We start from the raw sequence: 27,205 nt of genomic DNA on the forward strand, positions 1-27,205 counted from the left end.
TTGAGAGGCCGAGGCTAGTGGATCATGAGGTCAAGAGATCGAGACCATCCTTGGCAACATGGTGAAACCCTGTCTCTACTAAAAATACAAAAATTAGCTGGGCATGGTGGCACACGCCTGTAATCCCAGCTACTCGGCAGGCTGAGGCAGGAGAATTGCTTGAACCTGGGAGGTGGAGGTTGCAGTGAGCCGAGATCGCACCACTGCACCCCAACCTGGTGACAGAGTGAGACTCCGTCTCAAAAAAAAAAAAATTTACCTGTACTGCTTCCATTCTCTGTTAAAGTGAATTTTATCATTAATTTATACGTTTTCTATGTATCATGCTGTTACATGTACACACCCACTTTGCAAAATTGTTACCTTAATCACGTTTTGTTAATATTTATTCGAATGGCAAGAGTGCCTGTTTGTCTCAGTCAAATGAATCTTTAGAGAACTGTTTCGTTCTTCTGAGGTTGCACAAAATTAATGTGGTTTAAAAGTTTTAATTTAAATTTAATTTTATTTATTTGCGTTTTGACTAGGTATTAGAGTGACCTGGTTCAAAATCTGGAAACACAATAAGATACATGGTGTATTGTCCCCCTCCCTCGTCTGTGCTACCGATGCCCAGTTTCCTTCCCTGGAGGCAGCCAGTGTTACCTGCTTCTGTGTGGTCTTCCAAGGAAGACGTTTTAGTGCAGTTTTAATTTGAAGAGAACAACTTAAAAAAATGTGTACGTGGGAATAGAAGGGCTTTGTTCTAAACTCCGTTGGTTTGTTTGGTTCATGAAAGTCAGAACAGCATGACTTTATTTCAAGGTTGAATAACAATAAAAGATTTATAAGTTTAATAATTGTCTTCAATAGCTTGAGGACATAATCAAAACAACTGACTTCTCTTTAAGTCTTATTTCTGCCCCAGGAACCTGTCCTTGATCCACCACCTTCTGGTTATTATTTCACTTTGTTCACATTCCGGGGACATACAATCGGCTGATTTTATCTTCTCTAACTACATTTCTGCTTCAGAGGCTTTACTTGGTGGGAATCATCTTCCAGACTCCCCAAAGCTGGCTTCTGCCCAACTCACAAACCTCATCTCACATGTTGCTCTTTTCCCCTCTTTCACCAGTTCCAGGCACACAGACTTCCTGTCAGTTCTTGGTCAAGCAAGTTCTCGTCCACCTGAGGACCTTGTCCTTGCCTGTTCTTCCGTCTGCCTGGAAGGCTTTCTTCTGTCTTCTGTGCCTGGCTCCTTCCCCACCTTCCGGCCTCACTTGAGATGTGATCTTCTCTGACCATCTTAGCTGAAGTTGGCCTCCTCTCCCTTAATCTCCATTGAGCTAAACAGTTTCTTTCATCTAGAACTTACTATAGTAATTATGTGTTTACTAGTTCACTGTCTGGAATCGTTTACCCTAGAGCAGTCTACGATGTAAAGCCAGGATGGTCAAACTACAGCGCAAGCTTTGTTTTTGCAAAGCTCTGGAGGTAAGTATTGCTTTACATTTTAAAAGGGTTGCTTAAAAATTTTTTTTAAAAAAAAGCTAAGAAGATTGGGCAGCAGAGACTTCGTGTGGTCTGCAAAACTATTTACTATCCAGTCCTTTACAGAAAAATGTGCTAATCCCTGGGCTAAAACAATGGTCTCCAAAGTGTGGTATGTACATTCCAAAGATTGTGCAAGATAATTCAGTAGGTTCTTAATTATTTATTCTTTTGCATTCATTTATTGCTTATGTTTTATAATGCACATAATTTTTAGTATAGTAATAGATACATATAATTTATAAATTAACATATACATACATGTTTTGGGAATAATGCTCAGAAATTTTTTAATAATGCACTTTATGATAAAAATTTTGGAGGCAACTGGGGTTAAAATACAAAATTTATGAGGGCAAGCGCCATATTCTCTCCTTCCATATTCCCACCATCTAATACACACTCAATGTAATGCTTTTTGAATAAATGATAGCAGTAGACTTAAACATTTATTGAGCACATATTAACTAAGCTCTCGGAATGTAATATCTTCTTTAATGATTAGAGCCACCCTATGAGTTAGATCTTGTTACTTTTATTTTACAAACGAGGAAACTGAGGCCCAGAGAAGTCAAACAACTTCCTGAAGCTCTCACATTACTAGTAAAAACTGGAAGCTGAGTCTGATGCCAGTCTGACTCCAAAGCCAGTGTTTTTAACCATGAATGACCTGTCTCTAATTTCATTCTTTTTTTTTACTCTTTATGTGTATCAGAATGCAATTACATTTTGAAACCTTGTGTGTCTTGATGTTGAAGACATATTGGCTTAGAAGGGGTAATCAAGTTTCCCATAGCAGTAAATGAAAATAAAGAAGGGCACTTATCCCATATTTCTAATAGAATAAGTCACTTTCAACGGTTTTTTTTTTTTTTTGAATTCTTGGAGTCAGAATTAAGAAATCTGTGGGGTTTTTTTTTGTTTTTTGTTTTTCTTTCTGAGATGGAGTCTCGCTCTGTGGCCCAGGCTGGAGTGCAGTGGCGTGATCTCCACTCACTGCAAGCTCCGCCTCCCGGGTTCATGCCATTCTCCTGCCTCAGCCTCCCGAGTAGCTGGGACTACAGGCGCCTGCCACCACGCCTGGCTAATTTTCTGTATTTTTTTTTAGTAGAGACGGGTTGCACCGTGTTAGCCAGGATGGTCTTGATCTCCTGACCTCGTGATCCACCCGCCTCAGCCTCCCAAAGTGCTGGGATTACAGGCGTGAGCCACCGCGCCTGGCCAGAAATCTGTGTTTAAGTATGGTTCTGCAAATCATTTAACTCCATTAAGGTCAACTTCTCATCTATAAAATGGAGCCAATAATAATGTTTATCCCAGAGGTGGTTTCCAAGGTTACGCACATGTGAAAGTGATTTGCATATTAAGGTTGATAACAGCGGTCCCAACCTTTTTGGGCACCAGGAACTGGTTTCATGGAAGACAATTTTTCCATGGATGGTGGGGTGATGGGAGATGGGAGGGGAATGGAAGGATGGGTAGGAGGGGAAAGGGGATGGTTTCAGGATGAAACTGTTTCACCTCAGATCATCAGGCATTAGATTCTTATAAGGAGCACACAACCTAGATTCCTCACATGTACAGTTCACAATAGGGTTCACGATCCTATGAGAATCTAATGCTGCTGCTGACCTGGCAGGGGGCAGAGCTTGGGCGGTAACACTCACTTGCCAGTCACCTCCTGCTGTGTGGCCCAGTTCCTAACAGGGCCGGTCTGTGGCAGCGGGGGTGGAGACCCCTGCCTTATGGGACTAGTGTTTGGGAAGAAACACCCCTGGTGTATAAAATACTAGTCTTTCTTCTCTAGTCATATATAACTATGTAGAGGCATACTTATCTCTGCCCCCTTAGTTTTATTACTGTAACATGCTTTGCTTAACAAACCAGTTGGTTAACTATTTAAGGAAAGCATCATCATTCTGGCATAGGAAGGATTCAAAACCCAAGTCTAAATTTGGCATTCAGTTCCTAGGCTTCTTATAAACTCTCGTCTACTTGGTCTTAGTCAAAAGTGCACATGACTACTATCTGCGATGCAGATTTGAAAGAGAGAACAGTAGCATTTATCAGCATCTCCTTTACTCACAGGATCGGAACATGAAGAACACAATACTTTAGTTGTCATATCCATCAACATTAGAATTAAATTGGAAGTTACTATTTAGATTTTGCCAGCGCAACTCCTACTTATCAGTCTTAAAAAACAAAATCCTTCAAGTTTTCTTTGTAAAAACCATAGCTTTTAAAGCTTATTTTATATTAAATTATAAAATAAAACCCAAAGCATGTATCACATTTTCACTTCAAATAATATAATTTACACATTTGAAACCTGAGCTCCCGAGACCATAAGCTAAATCTGAAGTCAAAACTTTCAAAAAAAAAAAAAAGTCACGTTAATCATTCTCACAGAGTTCTGAAAGTTTTGCCATAGACCCTTTATCTTTTTCCTTCCCTACAAGTGCCTGGTGGCTTCCCTTCTACGAGGACTTTTTGCAGTAGAAACAAGGTCATGTCTTTCTTTTATTATTTGCCTTTGTGTTGCCGCCAGTTTTAGGACCTTACTTAGAAATTCCCAGTACATGGACTATGTTCACCAAAACTTGTAAATATTTGTAAACCTGTGTTCTCTAAACGGTTGTAACGATTATTGCTACATGGTCCATTTAGCAATGAATCATGGTCTGCCCCGTGACACATTTTCTCTCTTGACCTGAGCCATTATTTCAACATTTCATTGTTATTTAATTTAATTTTTTTTTTTTTTTTGAGATGGAGTCTTGCTCTGTCACTCAGGCTGGAGTGTAGTGGTGTCTTCTTGGCTCACTGCAACCTCCACCTCCCAGGTTCAAGCGATTCTCTTGCCTCTGCCTCCCGAGTAGCTGGGACTACAGGTTTGAGCCACCACACCAAGCTAATTTTTTGTATTTTTAGTAGAGACGGAATTTCACCATGTTGACTAGGATGGTCTCAATCTCTTGACCTTGTGATCTGCCTGCTTCGGCCTCCCAAAGTGCTGGGATTACAGGCATGAGCCACCGCACCTGGCCTCATTGCTATTTAATTTTACATGAATGTGTCTTGTTTTCTCAAACTGCATTTCGGGGTCTTTAAAGTCCGGTCCACTTGTTAATTTTTAATTTAAAAAAAATAAGAAAATAATTTTTGCAGAGACAGAATCTTGTTATGTTGTCTAAGCTGGTCTTGAACTCCTGGCCTCAAGCGATCCTCTCACCTCCACTGCACCCAGCCCCACTTGCTTATTTTTGAATTCCACAGCATGGAGCAGAATTTCTGACAATAGCAGGGTCTTGGGTTACCAGACTTGAGTTTCAAATCCAGCTCTATTCTTTACTATTCATGTGACCCTGGTCAGTTTAGTTACCTTCATAAGCCTTTTTCTTCATTTGGAATGGGAATGATAATTCTACCCTGTGTGGTTACAATTGAATTATATGATTGTAGGGTGGGCCTGGCTGCAGCATCTCATGGTTCCAGGGCTGCCATCCATGCAGACCACTGTGTGCATGGCACTGCCTGGCTAGGGGGCCTGGTACCTATTAGGAACTCAGTAGAGGGCAGTTATTGCTATCACTGAATCCCGTTCACTTGATTAACCAAGCATAAAGAAGACATGCCCAGCAGAGGCAAGGTTGAACTGTGTGTAAGTTGTTGGCGGGGAAAGAGCTACCTTTGGCTCAAGGCCTCGTGAAGCTACACAGATTCAAATTCTCCTTAGGGACAAGTCAGCTATTTTGTGAAGCTATAACAGCTATTGTGTCAGTAAATCCTTTTAAATAAACAGTTCTAATCTCTGTCCTATGGTAGAAAGGTTGGAAGGTGAGAAGGAAATGAGCTACCATGTTATCCTGATCCTCTGACCCTTGGATTCTCTTCTCCAGTCTGTCTTTGTGAGTGGACAGATGTCAGCTGGTACTACCCAGCAAAGATAGACACAAGCTTATGGTGAGTTTGGGCATTTTCAGATGTTTTTAAATGTAAGGGCATCCAGATTCTGAATCCAATTTTTATGGTTAGCAATTGGTTTTAGTTTATAACAGCAAAAAAAGAATATAGTTTGGATGGGATGAAAGAAGGAAACAGAAGTGTTAGAAACAAAATGCTTGTTCCTTGGTGCTGCAAAGAAATAGCACATGAACATAAATTTAATTTTCTCAGCAAGGCAATTTTTACTTCTATAGAAGGGTACGACTCACAAATGGAGTAATGGCGAGAGCGCACCTGAACAAGGGAGGGGAAGGGGTTCTTATTCCTGACACAGGTGGCCCCTACTGCTGTGTCGTTCCCCTATTGGCTAGGGTTGGACCGCACAGTATAAGCTAATTCCAACTGGCTATTTTAAAGAGAGCAGGGGTATAAGCCAGAGTGGCGGGGTCAGTAGTTTGGTAGGAAGGATGGTTAGGTCCAGGTAATTAAAGGTGACTTAGGTCAGAGCAGGTGACCGGGGTGACGCAGGCAGGTCAAAGCAGGTGACCGGGATGAGTCAGGACGGAGCAGGGGACCAGGGGAACAGATGTGAACTACTGATTAAAACTGGTGAAAAAGGTTGTTTACTGAAACCACGAGGAAGTTAAATTTTATTATTTATTTATTTATTTATTTATTTATTTATTTATTTATTTGAGACGGAGTCTTGCTCTTTCGCCCAGGCCTGACTGCAGTGGCACTATCTCGGCTCACTGCAAGCTCCGCCCCCTGGGCTCACCCCATTCTCCTGCCTCAGCCTCCCGAGTAGCTGGGACTACAGGTGCCCACTGCCGTGCCCGGCTAATTTTTTGTATTTTTAGTAGAGACAGGGTTTCACCGTGTTAGCCAGGATGCTCTCGATCTCTTGACCTCAGGTGATCCACCTGCCTCGGCCTCCCAAAGTGCTGGGATTACAGGCGTGAGCCACCGCGCCCAGCCTAACTTTAAAATGGGGGACAAAAAACTGAACATACTGACATATTGATTCTTTGAAGAGAAATCTAGAACTCACTGTAACCAACAGAAGAACTTAAGGCCTGGTGAATGAAGTATCTGAACCTCCAGGTAGATTTTTAGTAAGCACGGAGCCTATGATGGGTACTGGTTTAAAGCCCTAAGGGTGGTCTTAGTTTAGTTGAAGAAAAGGAAAGAAGATGTCCTTGAATCATTATTCAGGGTCAAGGAATGAGAGGTGTTGGTGAAACAGGCAGAGAGGGGACGTGATATTAGATTAATGTCACATCATTGCATCCTATGGAAGGACCTGTAATGTTGTTAGGCAGTTGCTAAGGGCAAATTACAGGAAAAATATTAACTGGTTAATAGAATCATGTAGTGATAATAGAGAGCTGAAGGCACTTTCAGAGATGATCCGGCCCAGCTCTCTCTCTGCAGGCAAGGGAATGTCTAAATCATCCAGGACAGATATTGTTGACATCTCAAAAAGCTCATTAAGCATAAAGAGTCCTCCACATTTTGGGGTAGCCCATCTGATTATTTTATCATCAGAAGGTTAAAAAAATCTCATCCTTACCCAATCTAAAACTCAGATTGGTTAGGTTTTTATTTTCTTTTACACAACCAGCCACAAACTGGTGCTTATGATGATGGTGTCTTGTAAATGAACAACAAAGAGCAGGGACCACTCGACCTTCTTACTGCATGCCTTCTTTGTCTCAGAGAACCAGTGAGGTTCATTTGCTCCACAAAAATTTATCAAGTACCAAGCTCTGTGATAGGAGCTAAGGATGAAGGAATGAATAAAGTGGAATCCCTGCCCTCAATCCATTTGAGTCTAGTGGGATGGGAGCAGACAAGTAGAGAGGTAATATTTACCAGGTAATGTGTTAACTGTAGTAACGTTTTTTATAAACATGAGAGTATTTATCAAATGCTGGGAATTGAGGACTAAGCTCTGATTTTTTTCTTATCTTAGCCAAATTCCTATCTAAAGGGGTCTGGAGAGTCATGCCCTACAAACCATAAATTCTCATCAGATGGGTTTTATTTAAGCCTATATATCGTGATTTACTTTCCAATCTGACTCTTGCATAACATTATGTGACAAACAAGAAAATAAAAATATTTTATCCCAAAACATGTTTCTTTGCTGTATTTTGAAATGGCCGTGCAAAGCTGTCCTTTGTGGCAGAAAATTTGCATCTGTAAAGAAACTCTATTAACATAGCTAGATCTTTTTCTTCCAGGCCCTCCCAGTCCTGAAGAGGTTAACGGAGAGTCTAGCACCTTTTAAAGGTCTGAATAGGAAACGTTTGTCTTCTGTTGTCTCTAAGGGCAGCCACTATGAGACTTCAAAAGAACCTTGGTCTCCAGAATCTTAACCTGAACATGAAATTGACCTATAGCCTGGAAGCCTGCCCCACCCCACGAGTTGTCCCGCTGTTCTGGACCAAGCCAATATATTTCTTAATGTATCTGATTGATGTCTCATGACTTCCTGACCACCTTGGGTACATGTTCTCAGGATCTCCTGATGGATGTGCCAGAGGCCATGGTCACTCATATTTGGCTCAGAATAAATCTTTTCAAATATTTTACAGCTTGACTCTTTTCAGCGACAATAATTGTGCTAAGTGCTTCAGGCATATTATCCCATTCATTCTCACAACTCCCTTGTCACTGTCGGGCCGTTGAGCCCAACCTAAGCCATCATATCCCCTGTGACCTGCATGTATGCATCCAGATGGCCTGAAGCAAGTGAAGAATCACAAAAGAAGTGAAAATGGCCAGTTCTTGCATTAACTGATGACATTTCACCATTGTGATTTGTTCCTGCCCCACCTTAACTGAGCGATTAACCTTGTGAAATTCCTTTTCCTGACTCAGAACCTCCCCCACTGAGCACCTTGTGACCCCCGCCCCTGCCCGCAAGAGAACAACCCCCTTTGACTGTAATTTTCCACTACTCACCCAAATCCTATAAAAGTGCCCCACCCCTATCTCCCTTTGCTGACTCTCTTTTCGGACTCAGCCTGCCTGCACCTAGGTGAAATAAACAGCCTTGTTGCTCACACAAAGCCTGTTTGGTGGTCTCTTCACACAGACGTGCGTGACAGTCACAAACTTATGATTGCAAAAAAACCCTTTGAGTGCAACCTTTTCTTTCTGGTTGGAACTTATTGTTTTGTAGTTTTGGTTTTTTTGTTTGTTTGTTTTGGTCTGTTTATTTTTTATTTATATTGGCTTTTTTGTTGCCTTTTTCAGTTTTATTTCTGTGGTTGAAACTTTATGGCACATTCTAAATTCTTCCTGGCAATGGCTTAGTGTGAATTTATGATCAGTCCTGCTAGTTTTGCTTGTTAGATGTAAAGGAAATTTTTGAGGCTTTAGAAATCCCTTTTCTCTCTCAAATTTATAGGCTTTCAAGACTGTTGTTTCTATGGGTTTCAAAATCCTATGCTGGCAGTCAAAAACTTTCTTTCTCTTTGCATTTCTGCAGTAATTCTAATTCTCCCGGAGGCAGGTGGAATCCTCTGGAATGTCATATGCAAGCAAGTGAGGAAGAAAAAAGAAAGAGGACATGTTTTAACATATCATCTCTCTTTTACAAAATAAATGGACACACACAGACACTTACACAGTTATTGACTCGAGGAGTCGCTGCACATTCTCATATAAAGGTATTACATCTTAACTAGAGATAGTTCTTAAACTTGCAAAATATAGATTACTTCTAATCACGTCATGTCAGGCATCAATGTACTGGGTAAGGGTTTCTTTTCCCCCCTGTAATTTTTTCTACTTTGTTGAACACATTGAGCTAAAAAATCCTATACGAAGTTGTTCCTTTAGGTAAATTAGTTAATTTTCAATAAAATTACAGCTTTCGTAAAATATTAACAGGCACTTTTGTCTCTTCTGCATTTCTGCATTGGACTCCCCGCATATCTATACCACACATATGTATGATTATTGTTCTCTAAAGCAGTAATTATGCTGATAGTAATGATCCCGAATGACCGTAAAGATTGTCTCTGATTACATTTAACAGCAAATACAAAGACACTGTTTTTCCTACTTGGGTATATTTAACAGCAAATGGTATGAACGATCCAGACAGCTGTAATGGCTGAGTTGGGAAGTCTGTTTCCTGAATAGGGTAGAAATTCACCACTGGGGAAAGAAATGCTTCCCCGTTACTTTTATTGTGTTACTGACCCATCACATATGCTCAGGCTTCCAAGCTGAGAACGTGCCAAACTATTAACCAAAATAATACGTCTGGCTCCCAAAGCTCACATTTTGTGTAAATGCAAATGTAATCCCGAGGTGTATTAGTTAGCAAGATGGCCGTCTGGTGGGACACTTGGTATCATGTGCCCTTCCCGCTCCATGGCTTGGAATGGAATTTGTGCTGGCCGTTAACGTTCTTGAATGCATTTCCCTCTGAGCTTGGATAGAGGGTAAGACAGCCAAATGGAAACATCTTCTTTCAGGTTCTTTGGAAATACATTTATTGATCTCTCTCAATCTTTGGCGGGATTTTCTTTCTTCCTGGATGAACAGGAACAACTCTGGGAGCCGCTTGCAGTGACACGATGCAGCTGTGTGTATACCTGGATGCCTTAGAGAATGTGTCAGGGAGAGAACAGTTAGGCAGTACATCTCTTCCTCCTGAAGTCCAGAATGTATGTGTATATATACAGTTCTCTCTGCTTCTCTGTGCCCTTTTTGTCTTTCTCTGTTTATCATTCACCCCTTCTCTCATCCTTTCCCTCGTCTCCTCCCCCAGCACCTGATAACCATGTTACAGGATGGAGTAGGATGGAGTGAAAATATGTTTGCTCTCCAGGCAGCATGAGAAACAGCAGATGTACTACAGGGTGTGGGAGGAGAGTTTCAGTGCACAGTGCATTGTACAAAGAATGCATAGGGGAGGTTAATTGCTATTATCATTACTATTTATTAAAATGTAACAGTGCAGACTGTATCATCATTGATCTGGTGACTTAATATTTCAATTGGACAAGCAGGTAGTTTTAGACCTAAAATATTAAGCACCTAAAAAGACATTTAAAAACATTATTCACAGTCCCAAAGAAAAGCAATAACAAAAAATGTTTCATTTTCCCTCTGATTGTTCCTGGATTTGTTCTCTTTTCTTTGGTGGAAAATGATGGTGCTACCTACAATTAGATCTGCCTGACTCTGAGTGGTGTGGCAAAACTCTGTTAGCTATTTATTTGGATTCTTGAGGCCCTAGGAGCCTGTGGTCCTGTTGGTGTGAATTGTATTAGGAAGAGAGGAGAGATAAAAGATGTAAATGGAGATCTGTCTGTCTACCTATCTATCTATCTGTTTATCTATCTATCTATCTATCTATCTATCTATCTATCTATCTATCATCTATCTGCAAGGAGAAAGAGAGACTGAAGAGAATGCAGGGTGATAGAAAGGTAGAAAAGGGATTGAAATCATTGTTAAAAGGAATGAGAAGGTACAGCTCTACCAGTCTATAGCATAATTCCATTTTGGCCAGGTAATCAACATGCTGACACCAAGCTACAATTTTTCTCCTGAAGCACAAAAGGAAATGAAGGCTTGACTAGCACTGCAAGGCTGTGAGTTAGGAAACGGGAAACAAGATGCTCCTGCTGCTGTTGGAGTCTTGAGTTGTTCCTGAAATGAGACTGTGGCATCCCCTGAGAACAAGGCATGATGCAGAATTGCACAATCTAGGTGCCTGTATTTCAGCTGGCAAAGCTCCCACCTCTGCCTCAGACTCCTTGTCCTGCCACGCAGGCTCCAGACAGTGACACTAAAACATTGCTCTGTATGGTAATTTGTCTGAAAAATAGCTTTAGAACTGTACCAGCTTTATGGCTCAACAATTGGAGCATTTAGGTGAAATTTGGAACCCAGCCATTAAGAGAACTGCTAGAGAAAAACATGACAGTAAAATCAAATTTCAAATCAGCATCACTTACCATATGGGAAACTGCAAATTCAGCAAAAGGGAAGGCAATGCTGAAATTCACCTTCAAAGCTAAATATTGTTCCTTAGACCAATTTCAACCTCGAATTCATTTGAATTTCCTTTATGTCTGGTTACATCTGAAGTGAAGTAATTAGCAATAGGCTTGTTAGATTTTTCTTTCCTTATGGAATTTTTTTTTTTTTCAGAGAGACAATGATCACTTATGAGGTCATATTTGTCACAGGAATGGCAAAGACTAAAGTGATTCCCACCATTTTTTAGGATGAGCCACTTTTTTGTTTTCCTAGCAAGTTTAACTTTATTGAGTTTAACTTCATGAAGTTAGCATACTAATTAATTTTAATTACTAAAGTTAACCCAATGTAAATACATGTTTATTTAATATGCCATTAATTTAAACACAGCTTTTATAAGACATAATTTTATATATCACAAAGTGCAATTACTATGAAGAATGGCTTTAGAGTTAGTTCCAGTTACTCCTGACTAAAGCCACAGCCAGGTGTTGCCTAGAAAATCATATTTGCCTTGGCCCTGTTTCCTCTATTCTTTTTATCCAGCCGATACCAGGACATTTGCTGATCTTCCATATTATTCCTCATCACATCATATCTGGAGTGGCCCTTTCTTAACATCAAAACTTTGAGACAACCCCCCACGTAATGGTTACTGGAATTACTTGTTGACCGAGGAAATATATATATGTATAAAACTACTGTGAAGTCAGGAATGCTTTTCTTCTTTTTTTGTTTTTTGTTTTGTTTGTTTGTTTTTTGAGACGGAGTCTCGCTCTGTCGCCAGGCTGGAGTGCAGTGGCGCGATCTCGGCTCACTGCAACCTCCATGTCTCAGGTTCAAGCAATTCTCCTGCCTCAGCCTCCCGAGTAACTACAGACGCCGGCCACCATGCCCGGCTAATTTTGTATTTTTAGTAGAGGCGGGGTTTCACCGCGTTAGCCAGGATGGTCCCGATCTCCTGACCTCGTGATCCACCCGCCTCTGGCCTCCCAAAGTGCTGGGATTACAGGCGTGAGCCACCACGCCTGGCCCTTGTGTGTTTGTTTGTTTGAGATGGAGTTTCACTCTTTTGCCCAGGTGGGAGTGAAGTGGTGCGATCTCGGCTCACTGCAACCTCCACACCTCCCCGCACCGCACCCTCCCCACTGCCCCTGCCCTTCAAGCGATTCTCCTGCCTCAGCCTCATCCTCAGCCTCAGCCTCAGCCTCGTCAGTAGCTGGGATTATAGGCCCCCACCACCACGCCCGGCTAATTTTTGTATTTTTAGTAGAGAAAAGCCCCGTAGGCTTTTTCCTCTTTAGAGACAGGGTTTTGCCATTTTGGCCAGGCTGGTCTCGAACTTCTGACCTCAGATGATCCACCCTCCTCGGCATCCCAAAGTGCTGGGATTACAGGTATGAGCCACTGCATACGTCCTAGGAATGCTTTACTTGATCACAACAATGATACATATTTGAAAGTAGTGGGAAATATATGGGTGAGATATATCACTCGGCCTAGTGATAATGATTGGGGAGCATGTAGATTCACAGAACACTTTATAGTAATGCCAGGCCCCAGAAGGTAACCACTCCTGCAGGAGTTTGAGGAAGAAGAGCAGTTTTCGCTGGATGTCTAGGGAAGATTCCACAGGTGAACCTGCATTTGAACTTGGTGTTGTCAGCTTTCTCTGTTCCTAAACTTTGCAGTATAAGAATGTAGCCGAAGGGCCGGGCGCAGTGGCTCACGCCTGTAATCCCAGCACTTTGGGAGGCCGTGGCCGGTGGATCGCCAGAGGTCAGGAGATCGAGACCATGCTGGCTAATACGGTGAAACCCCGTCTCTACTAAAAATACAAAAAGTTAGCCGGGCGTTGTGGCGGGCGCCTGTAGTCCCAGCTACTCGGGAGGCTGAGGCAGGAGAATGGCGTGAACCAGGGAAGGCGGAGCTTGCAGTGAGCTGAGATGGTGCCACTGCACTCCAGCCTGGGCGACAGAGCAAGACTCCGTCTCAAAAACAAAAACAAAAACAAAAAATTGGCCAGGCGTGGTGGTGGGCATCTTTAATCCCAGCTACTTGCGAGGCTGAGGCAGGAGAATCACTTGAATCCAGGAGGCGGAAAACAAAACGAAACAAAACAAAACAAAAAATCAAAAAAGAAAGTCTCTGAAGGCTTCACACTGTCAGATTGCCAGGCAGTGAGTGGGAGCTGGTGCTGCTCTCAGTATAGCTGCTATTGGGAAAAGGATGGTTGTTCTACTGATTAAATGTGACTCTAGTTGGTATTTGAATTTGAGGGACATAGGAACGTCTCCCTCAGGAATTCTTCCTCAACGGCATTTCCTCCCCACCAGCCTCTCCGCATAGGCTTTCTCCTCTTTAAGGCAGACCTCATCCCCCTATTGTATTATGAGCTCTCTAGAGGACAGAGCAGGATCTTTCTGCACAGAAGAAAGTCTTATGGAAGTTGGGAGCGGTTAGAAGAAACCACAGCCATTTCCCACCCACCCCATTCCTTTCAATGGCAAAAACAATAATTACTTTTGCACCAATCTAATATTTATATTTAGCCTAATAGAAAGATCAAGTTAGATATATATATAGAAAATGTGTTGCTCAGAATAAGATGGAGCTCTTTGAGTCTAGATAACCGTGGATGCCTTGGGGTCACTGAGGGGCTTCCGGCATCCAAGCCTGCTCCATGTGATATTGTTGGTTGGTACATGCTTGACTCAACTGAACTATTTCAATTTCTTGCCTTGGAAATGGAAATTTGGACCTGAAGGCAGAGAGTCTGGGAGTTTTCAGAGCTGAGTCACATTGACGGCAGTTTTCTAAAGAAGAGGATCATGTACTTTAATTCATCCTTCAGTTCCGTGGGCTACTCCAGTATCTTTCCAATGACATCTCACTCCTTTTTTCCTTAAGTTGGCCAGATGTGGGTTCTGTTATTTGGTCCCCCCAAAACCTTAATTATTATGTAAGTCTTTAGGACAGGGGAGTGGACTATCCTCCTTTGGACTGTAAATCAAATCCACTGAGGATTTTAAGGATTCTTAAAAATCAGAGTTGCAGCCCACATATGCCTTAGGAGGTTGTGGGATTTGGATTATCCCAGTGAGAATCTGAATAAATAGTTACATAGTCTAAGACCAACCTTGTGTTTTCTTAGAGGTGGGTGGGGAATGGCTGTGCTTTCTTCCAACCATTCCCAACTTCCATAAGACCTTCTTCTGTGCAGAAAGTTCCCACTGTGTCCTTGTGGAGAGCTTATTTAATGACTTGGCATCATGAAACTTGACCAGGCTTATCTGGCTTAATGCCACTTTTATAGAGAGACAGTACTTCTTGTTTCCTCCCTTAACCGTCGGGGCTGGTTTTAGGAGGAATGAGTAAACAAAATAAATAAGTGCTCTATTTAAAGCACGAATTTTATGTTGGTAAATGTAAGAAATTTTAAAAAATTGTTTTAAGTGTATAGTTCCCAGGCATGGTGGCTCATGCCTGTAATCCTAGCACTTTGGGAGGCCGCGGTGAGAGGATTGCTTGAGCTCAGGAGTTCGAGACCATCCTGGACAACATAGCAAAACCCCGTCTATATAAAAAATACAAAAATTAGCCAGGTGTGGTGGTGCATGCCTGTGGTCCCAGCTACTCAAGAGGCTGAGGTAGGAGGATCGCTTGAGCCTGGGAGGTGGAGGTTGCAGTGAGCTGAGATCACGCCACTGCACTCTAACCTAGGTGACAGAGTGAGACCCTGTCTCAAAAAAAAGTGTACAGTTGCAAGTATATTTTAAAGATACCTATATAGTAAAAAATTTTTAAAAGTATTTATGTAAGAAAACTTGAAATAGATGACAGTGCTAATAGCCATTCTGAAGAACTGGTGGTGTTATAGATGCTCTCTTCCCCACCATTTCCTGTTTTTCACACTCTCATAATGTGGAGTCATTATCCCTATAAGAATTTTTGAAAGCATAGGACTCAGGGAGAAAAAATAAATACAACTAGTCTACTTTATGATTAAAAATCAAAGAGAGAGAGAGAGCGAAGAAGAAGCAGGGGTAGGAGTGGGATAAGGAGAGATAGAGAGAAAAGGAGAAAAATGGAATGAGATATTCTCAAGTGTTGCCAGATTGTCACAGAAAAAAAATCTTGGTATAACTGTCTTGAAAAATTTTAAACTTTGACATTTTTGTCTTGAAGTAGTAGAGGATTTTTGTGCTTATTTTCAGTTTATGAATGAGTGGTGTTTGTGTCAGCATCTTAAACAATGGAATAAAAACGAATGTATTCGTTTTTTGTTCAGTGTAACGGTTTGAAATGCCAGATACCTTCAGGGATGAAGCGGCTGCTTCTCAGAGAACTGCTCCAGGTTTTAGGTTGCAGGGTTATTTGGCAGAGGTGCCCACTTTCTCTATTTGTCTAAGACAGAATTAGGTCACACAAACAACAAAGATATATAAGAGAAACCCCCTTCTAGGTTCAAAAGGAAGTGAGAAAAAAATTGGTATAAAAAAGAATTCTCTTTTTAAGCACATTAAAGTCTCCCTTTTTTTCAATCTTTTTTTTTTTTTTTTTTTTTGGCAGGGTCTTGCTCTGTCACCCAGGCTAGAGTATTGTAGCACAATCTTGGCTCACTGCAACCTCCGTCTCCCAGGTTCAAGCAATTCTCCTGCCTCAGCCTCCTGAGTAGCTGAGATTACAGGCATGCACCACCACACCTGGCTAATTTTTGTATTTTTAGTAGAGACAGGGTTTCACCATGTTGCCCAGGCTGGTCTCAAACTCCTGACCACAGGTGATCCACCCACCTCGGCCCCCCAAAGTGCTGGGATTACAGGCATGAGCCACCGTGCCCAGCTCTGTTTTAGACTTTTAATGTAAATATATTGTCTTGGGAAATGTTTCAATTAGAAATTTTAAAAATATTCAACACATATAATGTACCACGGTTGTTATATATTTTGTTGACTAAACCAGTATCTTCTTTGACATGGTGTGCACAGGTATTCATATATCAATTGCAAAAGGGCTTCATTCAAAGCATACAAGAAACAATTAACCAGGTTAATTCAATAGGAGTTGGAAATGGATTGGCTTTTACAAACTATCTCGACCAGCGCCTTCCAGTACAACTTTTTGAGATGATGGAAATGCTCTATCTCTGTATTGCCAATGCAGTAGCCACTAGCTTCATGTAAGTAATTGAAATGTAGCTGGTGTGACTGAGGAATTAAATGTTTAATTTAACTTAATTTCCATTAAGTAGCCACACATGGCCAGTGCTGTGTTGACAGCACAGATCTAGACCATCATGTTTATTTGGCAGATAAGGAAATCAGGAGAGAGGCTGAGAAGCCCAAGACAGCAGTCCAATATAGCATTAATAGTTTTAACCAATTTTCATGAAGGAGAGATTAGGGAAAAGAAGGAAGACAAATAAATTGGGTACGTTAGTGTTCTTTTTTTTTTTTTTTTTATTTTTGAGCCAGAGTTTTGCTCTTGTTGCCCAGGCTGAAGTGCAATGGCATGTTCTTGGCTCACCGCAACCTCCGTCTCCTGGGTTCAAGTGATTCTCCTGCCTCAGCCTCCAGAGTAGCTGGGATTACAGGTATGCACCACCATGCCTGGCTAATTTTTGTATTTTTAGTAGAGACAGGGTTTCTCCATGTTGGTCAGGCTGGTCTCGAACTCCTGACCTCAGGTGATCCACCCGCCTCAGCCTCCCAAAGTGCTAGGATTACAGGCATGAGCCACCGCACCCGGCCGATGGGTACGTTAGTGTTCTGAGACTGTTCCCTTATGCAACTTTTATTTTAAATCCCTTGAGATGCCTAGAAACCACCCACCTGGTAGGGGTGATGTGTAAGATGTGTAAGATTACCCAAATTGATTTCACCCCTCAAATCCACTCTGATTCTTACACTAATACATTTAGAAAGCACTTCATAGTTTTCAAATCTTGTTCATCTATACAGTTTTCTCACATTTGCTCTTTTCAACATCCATGTCAGGTTGGAAGAGAAAATATCATCCCTCCCCTATGTCTGAGGTTCCAACAGGCCAAATGAGTAGCACAGGTTCATGTGACTAGCAAGTGCAGCTGCTGGGGAAGGTTTTGACTCTTAGTTCAGCCTCTTTCTGTTACAACCGGCTGCCCTTTATCTAAGTCCCTGAGAAGTGTTAAGACTTGGGAACCTGCGTTAGTATTAGGGGCAAATTAGGAAAGCCCCACAGAGCAGAAGCATCTTCCACAAAACATCCTCTGGCAGAAGTCTAGTGGGAGTATAAACTCCAGAATCAAGGAGATATGGGATTGGTAACAGTCTGTCAAACGTACTACAAGTATAATTTGGGCAAGTTACTTAGCCTCTTTTAAATATCATTTTCCTTGTTGGTAAAATGAGGATAATAATGGTACCTAAAAGACTTCTTGTGCAGATTAAATTAAATAATTCAAGTAAAGTGCTTTGTGCAGTAGTTGTTAGCTATAATTATGAATATTAATATAGAAAGAATTAAGTTATGTTTTGATTGCTTCCTGGGCCTATTTCTAGATTCAGAATCAGGAAACAGCAACTTTGGTCTTGGCATGCTTTAGAATGCTGCTGAGTCTTTTAGCCTTGTCACCAAATTCTTTCCTTCCTCTACAATTCCCTATTCTCTTTCTCCCACTACCATACCATCAAGAAAATGGAATTGAGTTTCCACCCCGGAAATCTCTCCATTGCTGTAAATGTTGTGGGGCTCTAGGGAAAGAGTGAGGCACGTGGGCTTTTAGAACCATTGATAGGCCTCCTGATGTCCATAGCATTGTGGGAACAACAGTATAAAGCCGCATGCCCAGTTCAAAGGAGTGTATTTTGAAAGTTTTCTAAAATTAAACCTTTTCTCTCTGTGAAAAGATTTTTTTTTTCTCACAGTCCTCCTATCCTTATCACTATGAAAATTGAGCCACTTTCTGGCTATGTCATGCTCAGGGTCAGGTTCCAGCCCCAGCTGAGGGCTGAGGGGAGTGGGTGGACATGGGGCAGGGAGCTGGAAGAACACTCGAGAGACAGCAGGTAGATGAGACATGGCTTTATTCAGCAGCAGTTTTCATTAACAGCTTTCTCACACTAGCTATCTCACACTGTCTGCCCTGTCTCAGTTGCTTAGTTCAGCAGCTCCCAAACACACAGCTGCACCGACAGCCCTCCCTTGCCTTCAGGGTCAGCAGCTTAACTCTCTCTCTCTGGGCACAAGTGAGCTGAGCTGTGTCCTGGCTCCCTCCTGTCTATCTACAAAGACAGACCCCTCTGGCTCTCTCTCTCTCTTTGGGTGCCAGCGCACCTGTACAGTGTCAGCAGGACAATTATACCTTTTGCAAACAATACTGGCTTAGAGCAAGGCATGGCCTTCCCATGTTATGGCTACATGGCTGTGATAACAAGTGGAGTTATATGTGTGCACTCTAAACTCACAAGTCATGCAGAATGCAAACATCTTACCTTGGCCTATCCTTGAACAAACCACAGCCATGTTCCTTACAGGCTATTATTAAAAAGTCAAAAAATAACAGATGCTGGTGAGGTTGCAGAGAAAAAGGAACACTTATACACTATTGGTGGGAATGTAAATTAGTTCAGTCATTGTGGAAGACAGTGTGGCGATTCCTCAGAGACCTAAAAACAGAAATACCATTCCACACAGCAGTTCCATGAACAGGAATATACCCAAAGGAATATAAACCATTCTGTCATAAAGACATGTGCACATGTATCTTCACTGCAGCACTGTTCACAAGAAAAGAGACATATATTCAACCTAAATGCCCATCAATAGTAGATTGGATAAAGAAAATGTGGTACATATACATCATGGAATACTATGCAGCTATGAAAAAGAACAAGATCATGTCCTTTGCAGGAACACGGATGGAGCTGGAGGCCTTTATCCTTAGCAAACTAAAGCAGGAACAGAAAACCAAATACTGCATGTTCTCACTTATAAGTGGGAGCTAAATGATGAGAACACATGGACTCATAGAGGGGAACAATAGACATTGGGGCCTATTGGAGTGTGGAGGGTGGGAGGAGGGAAAGGATCATGAAAAATAACTAACGGGCACTAGGCTTAATAACTGGGTGACAAAATAGTCTGCACAACAAATCCCCCTGGTACAAACGTACTTCTGAACTTAAAAATAATTTTTTTTTAAATTGAGCCATTTTCAAAATGGATAGGAGAAATGAGCCTGAACATAAAGCCTGTCTCTAATTCAGAAGTTGTATCCAATAAGCTTCTCTTCTCCTTCTCTAGCCATCCTGTGACCTACAGCTCCTCCATAAGCTTTGGAATGTTCATGATGGATCCAAGAAATCTTGGTATCAAGGGTATCATTTGGATCCATATGTTTTCTCCCTAATGGTCAAGCCCTAGTATGAGAGAAAAACACCAAAATTACAGAAATCCTACACACGAAATAGAAGAAAATTGAAGACATTATTCTGAGTTAAAATAGAATGCAAATGATAACCTGTTACCCTGTCTGGTGAGACAAAATACACAACACTGGAAAACTGTAAAAGTACCATCTAGGGAAATAAATCTCTCCTCTGTAATTTGGGTGAGCATAGCTCATCCTAAATCCATTAATTACCATCCTTTTAAAAGCACTCCAAATCAATATGTTCTCCCCTTGGAGATTATTCAGATGAGCAGAACGGTTGTAAAATACTTCTTTGGCTAATATGGATGATGACCAGAGAAGGTTGTAGTATCATTAAGGCCCCAATCTCAACAGAACATAACAAATATTTCATAATTACTGTGATGAGTGAAATGCCATCTTCTCCATTCTGATCAGAGATTGTATTTTTGTTCTTGTTAAAAATTTGAATCACAGCAGGAGTGTGAATAGATAACCTATAAAGTGATTTTAGCAATCTGGAAAAAATATTATGGTTAAAGCCTGGCATTGACATAACTAGGACCACAGTTTTCATCTCCACACAGGCCAATTAAATAATAGGTCTACTTCACATTTATAGGCTGGGCCCCCAACTGGGACCAGGCTTTTAAGCATTGTGCATCACAGGACATAAAACGCTGGGGCTACAGAATGTTTATGGTTCATACTGCCTGTCACAATTACTGGAAAAAGCAACACGAAGACCTTGGACTTATATTTGAAGGACAGTCCATTATTAATATGGTGAGAAAGCTCTAGATCTAGGTTTAAGCTTTTGCGGCTCACCAACTATGTGACCTTGAGCCTGTGAACTATGGTTTTGCCATGAGGAAGATAGACATAATAATAGCTTTTCTTCCGTTACCACAAGGTAATTGTGGGAAATACACAAAAGAATGAATGAGAAATCTTGTTGTAATGGTAAAGTGCTTAGACAAGTAGAAGATAATATTTATAGCTTAAATGCTGAGATTTAAAAAAACAGTTACTGTTGTGTGTTTGTTGTGTCTTCCCCCTGGGGTAGCTTTAAAAAACGTGGCCTGCATTTCTGTTAGGATGGCATTTAGACCTCCACTTCATCAAAGTCAGGAAGAAACTTTCATCAGTTTTTCTTCCTTACTGAAATAGAAACCCCCTATGTCTCCAGTGGCACGTTATCATCACAAAATACTGTTACGATAAATGGCCATGAAGCAAAGTTGATAGCCACTTCAAAATTATCCTTCCACATAAATTACATTAAAAACAACACTGTGTAACACCTGTAAGAAAGGCTACCTTCAAGAGAAGTTATTTTTAGTTGAGAGGGTGGAAAGGAAAAAGACGGCACATGCCAGTGCCTCCTGATGAGCTGTAAAACACTCACAAAAAACAGGGGTGAGGCCAGGCATGGTGGCTCATGCCTGTAATCCCAGCACTTGGGGAGGCCAAGACGGGTGGATCACCTGAGGTCAAAAGTTCGAGACCAACCTGGCCAACATGGTGAAACCCTGTCTCTACTAAAAATACAAAAATTAGGTGTGGTAGTGCATGCCTATAATCTCAGCTACTCTGGAGGCTGAGGCAGGATAATCGCTTGAACCTGAGAGGTGGAGGTTGCAGTGAGCCGAGATTGTGCCACTGCACTCCAGCCTGGGCGACAGAGTGAGACTCCGTCTCAAAAAACCAAAACCAAAACAAAACCCAAAAAACCAGGGGTGAGCACATTGCTTTGACTTCTGTTTTATACCCATCCTGAATTGTAAATATTAAAATCACAAACGCAGAAATGCTCTTAATTTTCTTTTATCTCCTTCCATTAAATTAAGCTTTAGTTTGAAAGTCACACAAGATCTCACATATTGCCTCTAAAAAATTGAGTGGCGTGCACAGAGAAGCACTTCAGTTAGAGTGACCTGGGGGAGGATGGCTTGGGGTGGGGGGCGGCTTCTTGGATCTATACCTTAAATATTGGCACTTTTGAAATCCTCAACAATTTAAATACTGAGGGGAAAATGCCGTATGTAGTGAGAAATAAAGGATATAAAACACTTGGACCAGTGATTGATAACAGAAAAAGGAGAGAAATCTCAGTCAACTGGGACAGTTAGTTCAAAACCAGGCTGGGTTTTGCTAAGCCACAAAGACTAGTCTTGCAAAGCCTTTAAATCTTTGCAGGGCTTCTGGGTACCGAGTTGGAGGATCAGCCTCCAGGCCATAAGAAGTTCCACTCTGGGGAGGAGAATCAGATAAGCGAGGTCAAGTAGAGAGACAGCTTTCTACTCCTCTAAGGATTCATGCCAAATATATTCTCCTCGGGCCTTTAAATAGAAAAATCTCTAGTTTCTTCAGATAAAATGCACAGTCACTGCATAAGTTGCTGATATAAGGAAAAGAACAGGAGTAGTCTTTTTGCTGAGGGAGGCTGTCCTCCTTTGGGGAAACCTTCGATTTTGATTCATTTCTCATGAGAGGGAGAGAACACTTACCTATTTTTTTTTCTAGATTCTGTGCTCATTAGCTCTCTTACAGCTTTCACTCAAACATGCACTTAGCCCCTAGAACCTGAGGAAACATAAATAAAGAGAATCTCAATATATTTTATTTATTTATTTTGTTTTTTGTTTTTACTTTTTGAGAAGGGGTCTTGCTCTGTTGCCCAGGCTGGAGTGCGGTGGCACAATCTTGGCTCACTGTAACCTCCCCCTCCCAGGCTCAAGTGAACCTCCCACCTCAGCCTCCTGAGTAGCTGGGACTACAGGCACATGCCACCACACTTGGCTAATTCTTTTGTATTTTTGGTAGAGACAGGGTTTCGCCACATTGATCAGGCTGGTCTCAAACTCCTGAGGTCAAGCCATCCTCCTGCCTCGGCCTCTCAGATGTAAGACACAGCACCAGGCCTGAGAATCTCAACATATTTTAAATAAGGTTCTTTTACTTGGGGTGGGTATTAAAAATATTAATAGAGAAGCACATATGTATATACAAATATATATGCATATGTAGGAAAACACATATATGGGATGCATGCAAATGTCTGCTAACACCAAATGCCCTTTAAATGCCAGGAAACTATCACATGAATGAAAGAAAAGAGGTGGGAACAAGTGTTGGTTTGGGCTAGATTTTGCCTTAGAAAGTCAAGAAGAGACTGAATCAGATTCTGCACAAACCATGCCTATTTAAGATGCTCAAATATTTAGAATCCAAAATAATTCAGACTGGGCCTACAGAAACAAATTAGTGGAATTGAAGGTGATTTATTGAAACATTCTTTTTCTCTCTATGAAAGGCAAATAAATCTCAGGACCGACCCTCAAATCACTCAGCCAAGGGAAAAGTGAAGCTGGGGTCTGTGTCATGCAAACCCGCCTCCCATCTTATTCCTAAGTAAGATAGCTACAAAGATAAAAAAGCCACATACCTCCCTCACAATTGGCCCACAAGGAAATTCCTTGTGAGCCTCAAGCTCTTTATCCTAAAACCATTCTGTTGAATTTCACCCTGGCAATGTAAACTGATAACTTATCTTCACCTCCCCAGACAGAAAGTCATCCCTCTGAGGTTCACCTGAGACATATGCATATCTGATGGCTTCTTCTGTCCTGTTGTTTAAGTAAAAATGCAGATTCACTGAGCCAGACTAAATTGTGTTTTCAGTGAAAGGCTGATCAAGGACTCAAAAGAATGCAACCTTTTGTCTCTTTTGTCTAGCCTGTGTGGCCTGGAAACCACTACCCCACTCTTCAAATTGTCCCTCCTTTCTGGACTGAACCAAAGCAATGTACATCTTACACATACACATATTGATTGATGTTTCATGTCTCCCTGTCGCCCTAGAATGTACAGAAGCATGCTGCACCCCAACCACCGTGGGCACATGTTGCCAGGACCTCCTGAGGTTGTGTCATGGGTATGCCCTTCGCCTTTCTAAACAAACTTTCTAAACTGATCGAGACCCGTCTCAGATTCCAGATATTTTGGGTTCACATCTCTGAAGCTCAGTTGCTATTTTTCTTGTGAACTGGGCTTCATTCATTAAACACATATTCATTAACTGTTTGCTAAGCACCAGGCCCTGTACTCATTGCTGGAGCTCAACAGTCATCAAGAGATCACAGCTGCTGCCCCAGGAAGTTGTAATCTCTCCAAGGAGGTAAATAGTATGTAAATAAATTCATAATAATGATTTTAGCATAGTTAAGAAATTATTTCATTTTAATTAATCACCTCTTTAAAGGCCCTAGGCCGGGCACAGTGGCTCACGCCTGTAATCCCAGCACGTTGGGAGGCCGAGGCTGATCAATCACGAGGTCAGGAGATCGAGACCATCCTGACTAACACGGTGAAACCCCATCTCTACTAAAAATACAAAAAAATTAGCTGGGCGTGGTGGTGGGCGCCTGTAGTCCCAGCTACTTGGGAGGCTGAGGCAGGAGAATGGCATGAACCCAGGAGGCGGAGCTTGCAGTGAGCCAAGATCATGTCACTGCACTCCAGCCTGGGCAACACAGCAAGACTCTGTCTCAAAAAAAAAAAAATTAAAAATTAAAATAATAATAATAAAAAAAGGCCCTAGCTTCTGATATAGTCACATTTTCAGGTACTGGAGGTTAGAGCTTCAGCATATGAATTTTGGGGGAACACAGTTCAACCCATAACACTTCCTGATCCTAGTACATAGTTTTGATCCTGAGAGGCAATGACTGGGATTCAGAGAATCCATAGACTACTGGTTTGGAGGGTGAGGGCTACCTTCCACCTGCACCTGCTCCCAGAGCTCAGTGGTGCAATAAGCGGGGCGCCATAGGAAGTTTTAATGTTCTGCATTTCCTTTCTGTTGTTTCCTAATATTAGACAGAAATAAGAGACCTGAGCTTTAATCTTGCTCTGAAAGAGAGAGATAAACATGGCATGCTACAAGAATTCGTAAGAGAAAGATATTACTTGTATTTGGTGGGTCGCAGAAGCTCTGCCTAAGAGGTGACATTGTTGATGGGCCTTGGAGAATGGGCAGCAGGTGGATGTGAAGAAGTTAGAGCATCAGAGGCAAGACAAAGGCGTGGATGCAGGAGCATGGCTTGTGTATGGAGGTTATTCCTTGTGAATCTATTGCACATGAGGCATTTGGTATGTTATAACTTTGAATTTCCCCAGAACCTGTGTGAGCTAAGCTAAATAGGAATTTACACCGTTTATTCTTTTCAACAATGAGGATACAGAAGCTTAGAGAGGTTGAAAAGCTCTTAAGTGACAGCGAAAGGATTGAACACACCTGTCTGACTTCAGCGTTCTACCCACAGACAGGCACTTGTGTTTCCTATTGCTGCGCTAACAAGTGATGACAAACTTAGAGGTTTAAAACAACACAAATATATGATCTCACAGTTCTTTAGGTCAGAAGTCTGGGTGGGCGTGATTGATTTTCCTGCTCTGGGTCTCACAAAGCCAATCAAGGCGTTGATAGAGTGAGGCCCTGTCTAAAAAAAAGAACAAAAAAAAATCGATACAACAAAATGTATTTCATACCCACCAGGTTGACAAAAGTGTTCAAGTTGGACAATAAGTGTGGGCAAGGATGTGGACCAATATGAACTTTCATCTGCTGCTGGTAGGAAACATAAACGGGTGTAACACCTTTGGAAAACCATTTGCAAAGTCTGCAACAGTACAATGGTCTACTAAAGTTGACACTGTGACCCAGAAAGTCCACTCTAAGGTTAGGACCAGCTACATTGTTTGTGGGGGCCACTGCAAAATGAAGATGCAGAGTCGCTTAAAAAATTAAGATTTTGGCTGGGCCCAGTGGCTCACTCCTGTAATCCCAGCATTTTGGGAGGTTGAGGCAGGCAGATCACCTGAGGTTAGGAGTTCGAGACCAGCCTGGCCAACATGGTGAAACCCCGTGTCTACTAAAAATACAAAAATTAGCTGGGTATGGCCGGGCACGGTGGCTCACGCCTGTAATCCCAGCACTTTGGGAGGCCAAGGCAGGCAGATCATGAGGTCAGGAGATTGAGACCATCCTGGCTAACACAGTGAAACCCCATCTCTACTAAAAAAAAAAAATACAAAAAACTAGCCAGACATGGTGGCGGGTGCCTGTAGTACCAGCTACTCAGGAGGCTGAGGGAGGAGAATGACGTGAACCTGGGAGGTGGAGCTTGCAGTGAGCTGAGATCGCACCACTGCACTCTAGCCTGGGCGACAGAGCGAGACTCTGTCTCAAAAATAAAAATTAAAAAAAAAAATAGCCGGGTGTGGTGGTGGGTGCCTGTAGTCCCAGCTACTCAGGAGGCTGAGGCAGGAGAATCACTTGAACCCTGGAGGTGGAGGTTGCAGTGAGCCAAGATTGTGCCACTGCACTCCAGCCTGGGCAACAGAGCGAGACTCTGTCCCAAAAAAATAAATAAATAAATAAAATAAAATAAAATTAAGATTTCAAGAAAGAGACAGTAGAGTTCCAAAGCATAGGGTCCTTCTAAGCATGGGGAACCTATATGTCTGTACAGGTTTCATAGCATCAGCTGGTCCTGCCTAGATATTTACCTTAGAGAAACTCTTGGGTCGTGCAGTTCAGGGTCCATACAAGAATGTTCAGAGCAGGACTGTTGGCAATAACTAACAATAGGAGACTCCAAACGTGAGTGACTAAATTAGTCACTGGAAGACTGATCAGTGAAAAATGAATGAATTAGAGTTGCTGACAACCACATGGGAGCATCTGAGGAGCACAACGCTGACCCAAAGAAGAAGAGTCCCCAAAGAATACACACAACAAAGACTCTATATAAAGTTTAAACAACAACAACAACAACAACAACAACAACCAACAGCCTGTAATCCTAGCTACTTGGGAGGCTGAGGCAGGAGGATCGCTTGAACCTGGAAGGCGGAGGTTGCAGTGAGCTGAGATTGTGCTATCGCATTCCAGCCTAGGCAAAAAGACCGAGACTCCATCTCAAACAAACAAACAAAAAACAACCCTGCAAAGCTGAATGACATATTGTTTAGAGAAACAAAAATATGTAGTAAAACTATTGAGAAAACAAGACAACGATGAATACGAAACCAAGGATGGTAGTTTCTCTGCAGAAACAAAGGGTCTGGGATGGTCTTCAGGGTTATGGGCGTGCCCTTTTTTACAAACAGATCCTTGGGTATTTGGTTTTTGTTAAATTCCTGTTTTTCATACGTTATATATTGCTTAATAAATATTAGTTTTCATTTATTAAATATTTAATAAACTTAAAAGTAATGCAAGTTGGCCCTGTTTGTGGGGAGAATGGTAGG

At 41.8% G+C, this 27,205-nt stretch overlaps 2 long non-coding RNA genes across 2 annotated transcripts in view, besides 3 other annotated features; one reads left to right on the forward strand and one right to left on the reverse strand.

Annotated features, from left to right (window-relative positions):
• Positions 1-1,125: 1,125 nt before the first annotated feature.
• The window catches only part of LOC105377530 (uncharacterized), a 28,967-nt gene continuing 2,887 nt past the window's right edge, over positions 1,126-27,205 (forward strand). The window contains exon 1 of the long non-coding RNA XR_939439.3: positions 1,126-1,476. This is a non-coding gene — a long non-coding RNA (uncharacterized LOC105377530). The remainder of the gene's footprint in view (positions 1,477-27,205) is intronic.
• The window catches only part of LINC02275 (long intergenic non-protein coding RNA 2275), a 58,142-nt gene continuing 37,105 nt past the window's right edge, over positions 6,169-27,205 (reverse strand). The window contains exons 3-5 of the long non-coding RNA NR_037878.1: positions 22,399-22,474; positions 11,469-11,595; positions 6,169-10,105 (exon numbers count right to left, since the gene is read on the reverse strand). This is a non-coding gene — a long non-coding RNA (long intergenic non-protein coding RNA 2275). The remainder of the gene's footprint in view (positions 10,106-11,468; positions 11,596-22,398; positions 22,475-27,205) is intronic.
• Positions 7,446-7,991: an enhancer, noted in NCBI's record as "OCT4-NANOG-H3K27ac hESC enhancer chr4:170840189-170840734 (GRCh37/hg19 assembly coordinates)". NCBI's record gives its function as "activates a minimal SCP1, AML or CMV promoter by ChIP-STARR-seq in naive H9 embryonic stem cells {active_cell/tissue: H9 hESC(naive)}" and the evidence as "EXISTENCE:reporter gene assay evidence [ECO:0000049][PMID:30033119]".
• Positions 7,992-8,539: an enhancer, noted in NCBI's record as "OCT4-NANOG-H3K27ac hESC enhancer chr4:170840735-170841282 (GRCh37/hg19 assembly coordinates)". NCBI's record gives its function as "activates a minimal SCP1, AML or CMV promoter by ChIP-STARR-seq in naive and primed H9 embryonic stem cells {active_cell/tissue: H9 hESC(naive and primed)}" and the evidence as "EXISTENCE:reporter gene assay evidence [ECO:0000049][PMID:30033119]".
• Positions 12,372-12,896: an enhancer, noted in NCBI's record as "H3K27ac-H3K4me1 hESC enhancer chr4:170845115-170845639 (GRCh37/hg19 assembly coordinates)". NCBI's record gives its function as "activates a minimal SCP1, AML or CMV promoter by ChIP-STARR-seq in primed H9 embryonic stem cells {active_cell/tissue: H9 hESC(primed)}" and the evidence as "EXISTENCE:reporter gene assay evidence [ECO:0000049][PMID:30033119]".

The sequence above is a fragment of the Homo sapiens genome, chromosome 4, assembly GCF_000001405.40.
Source record: "Homo sapiens chromosome 4, GRCh38.p14 Primary Assembly".
In the NCBI taxonomy this organism is placed as follows: domain Eukaryota; kingdom Metazoa; phylum Chordata; class Mammalia; order Primates; family Hominidae; genus Homo; species Homo sapiens.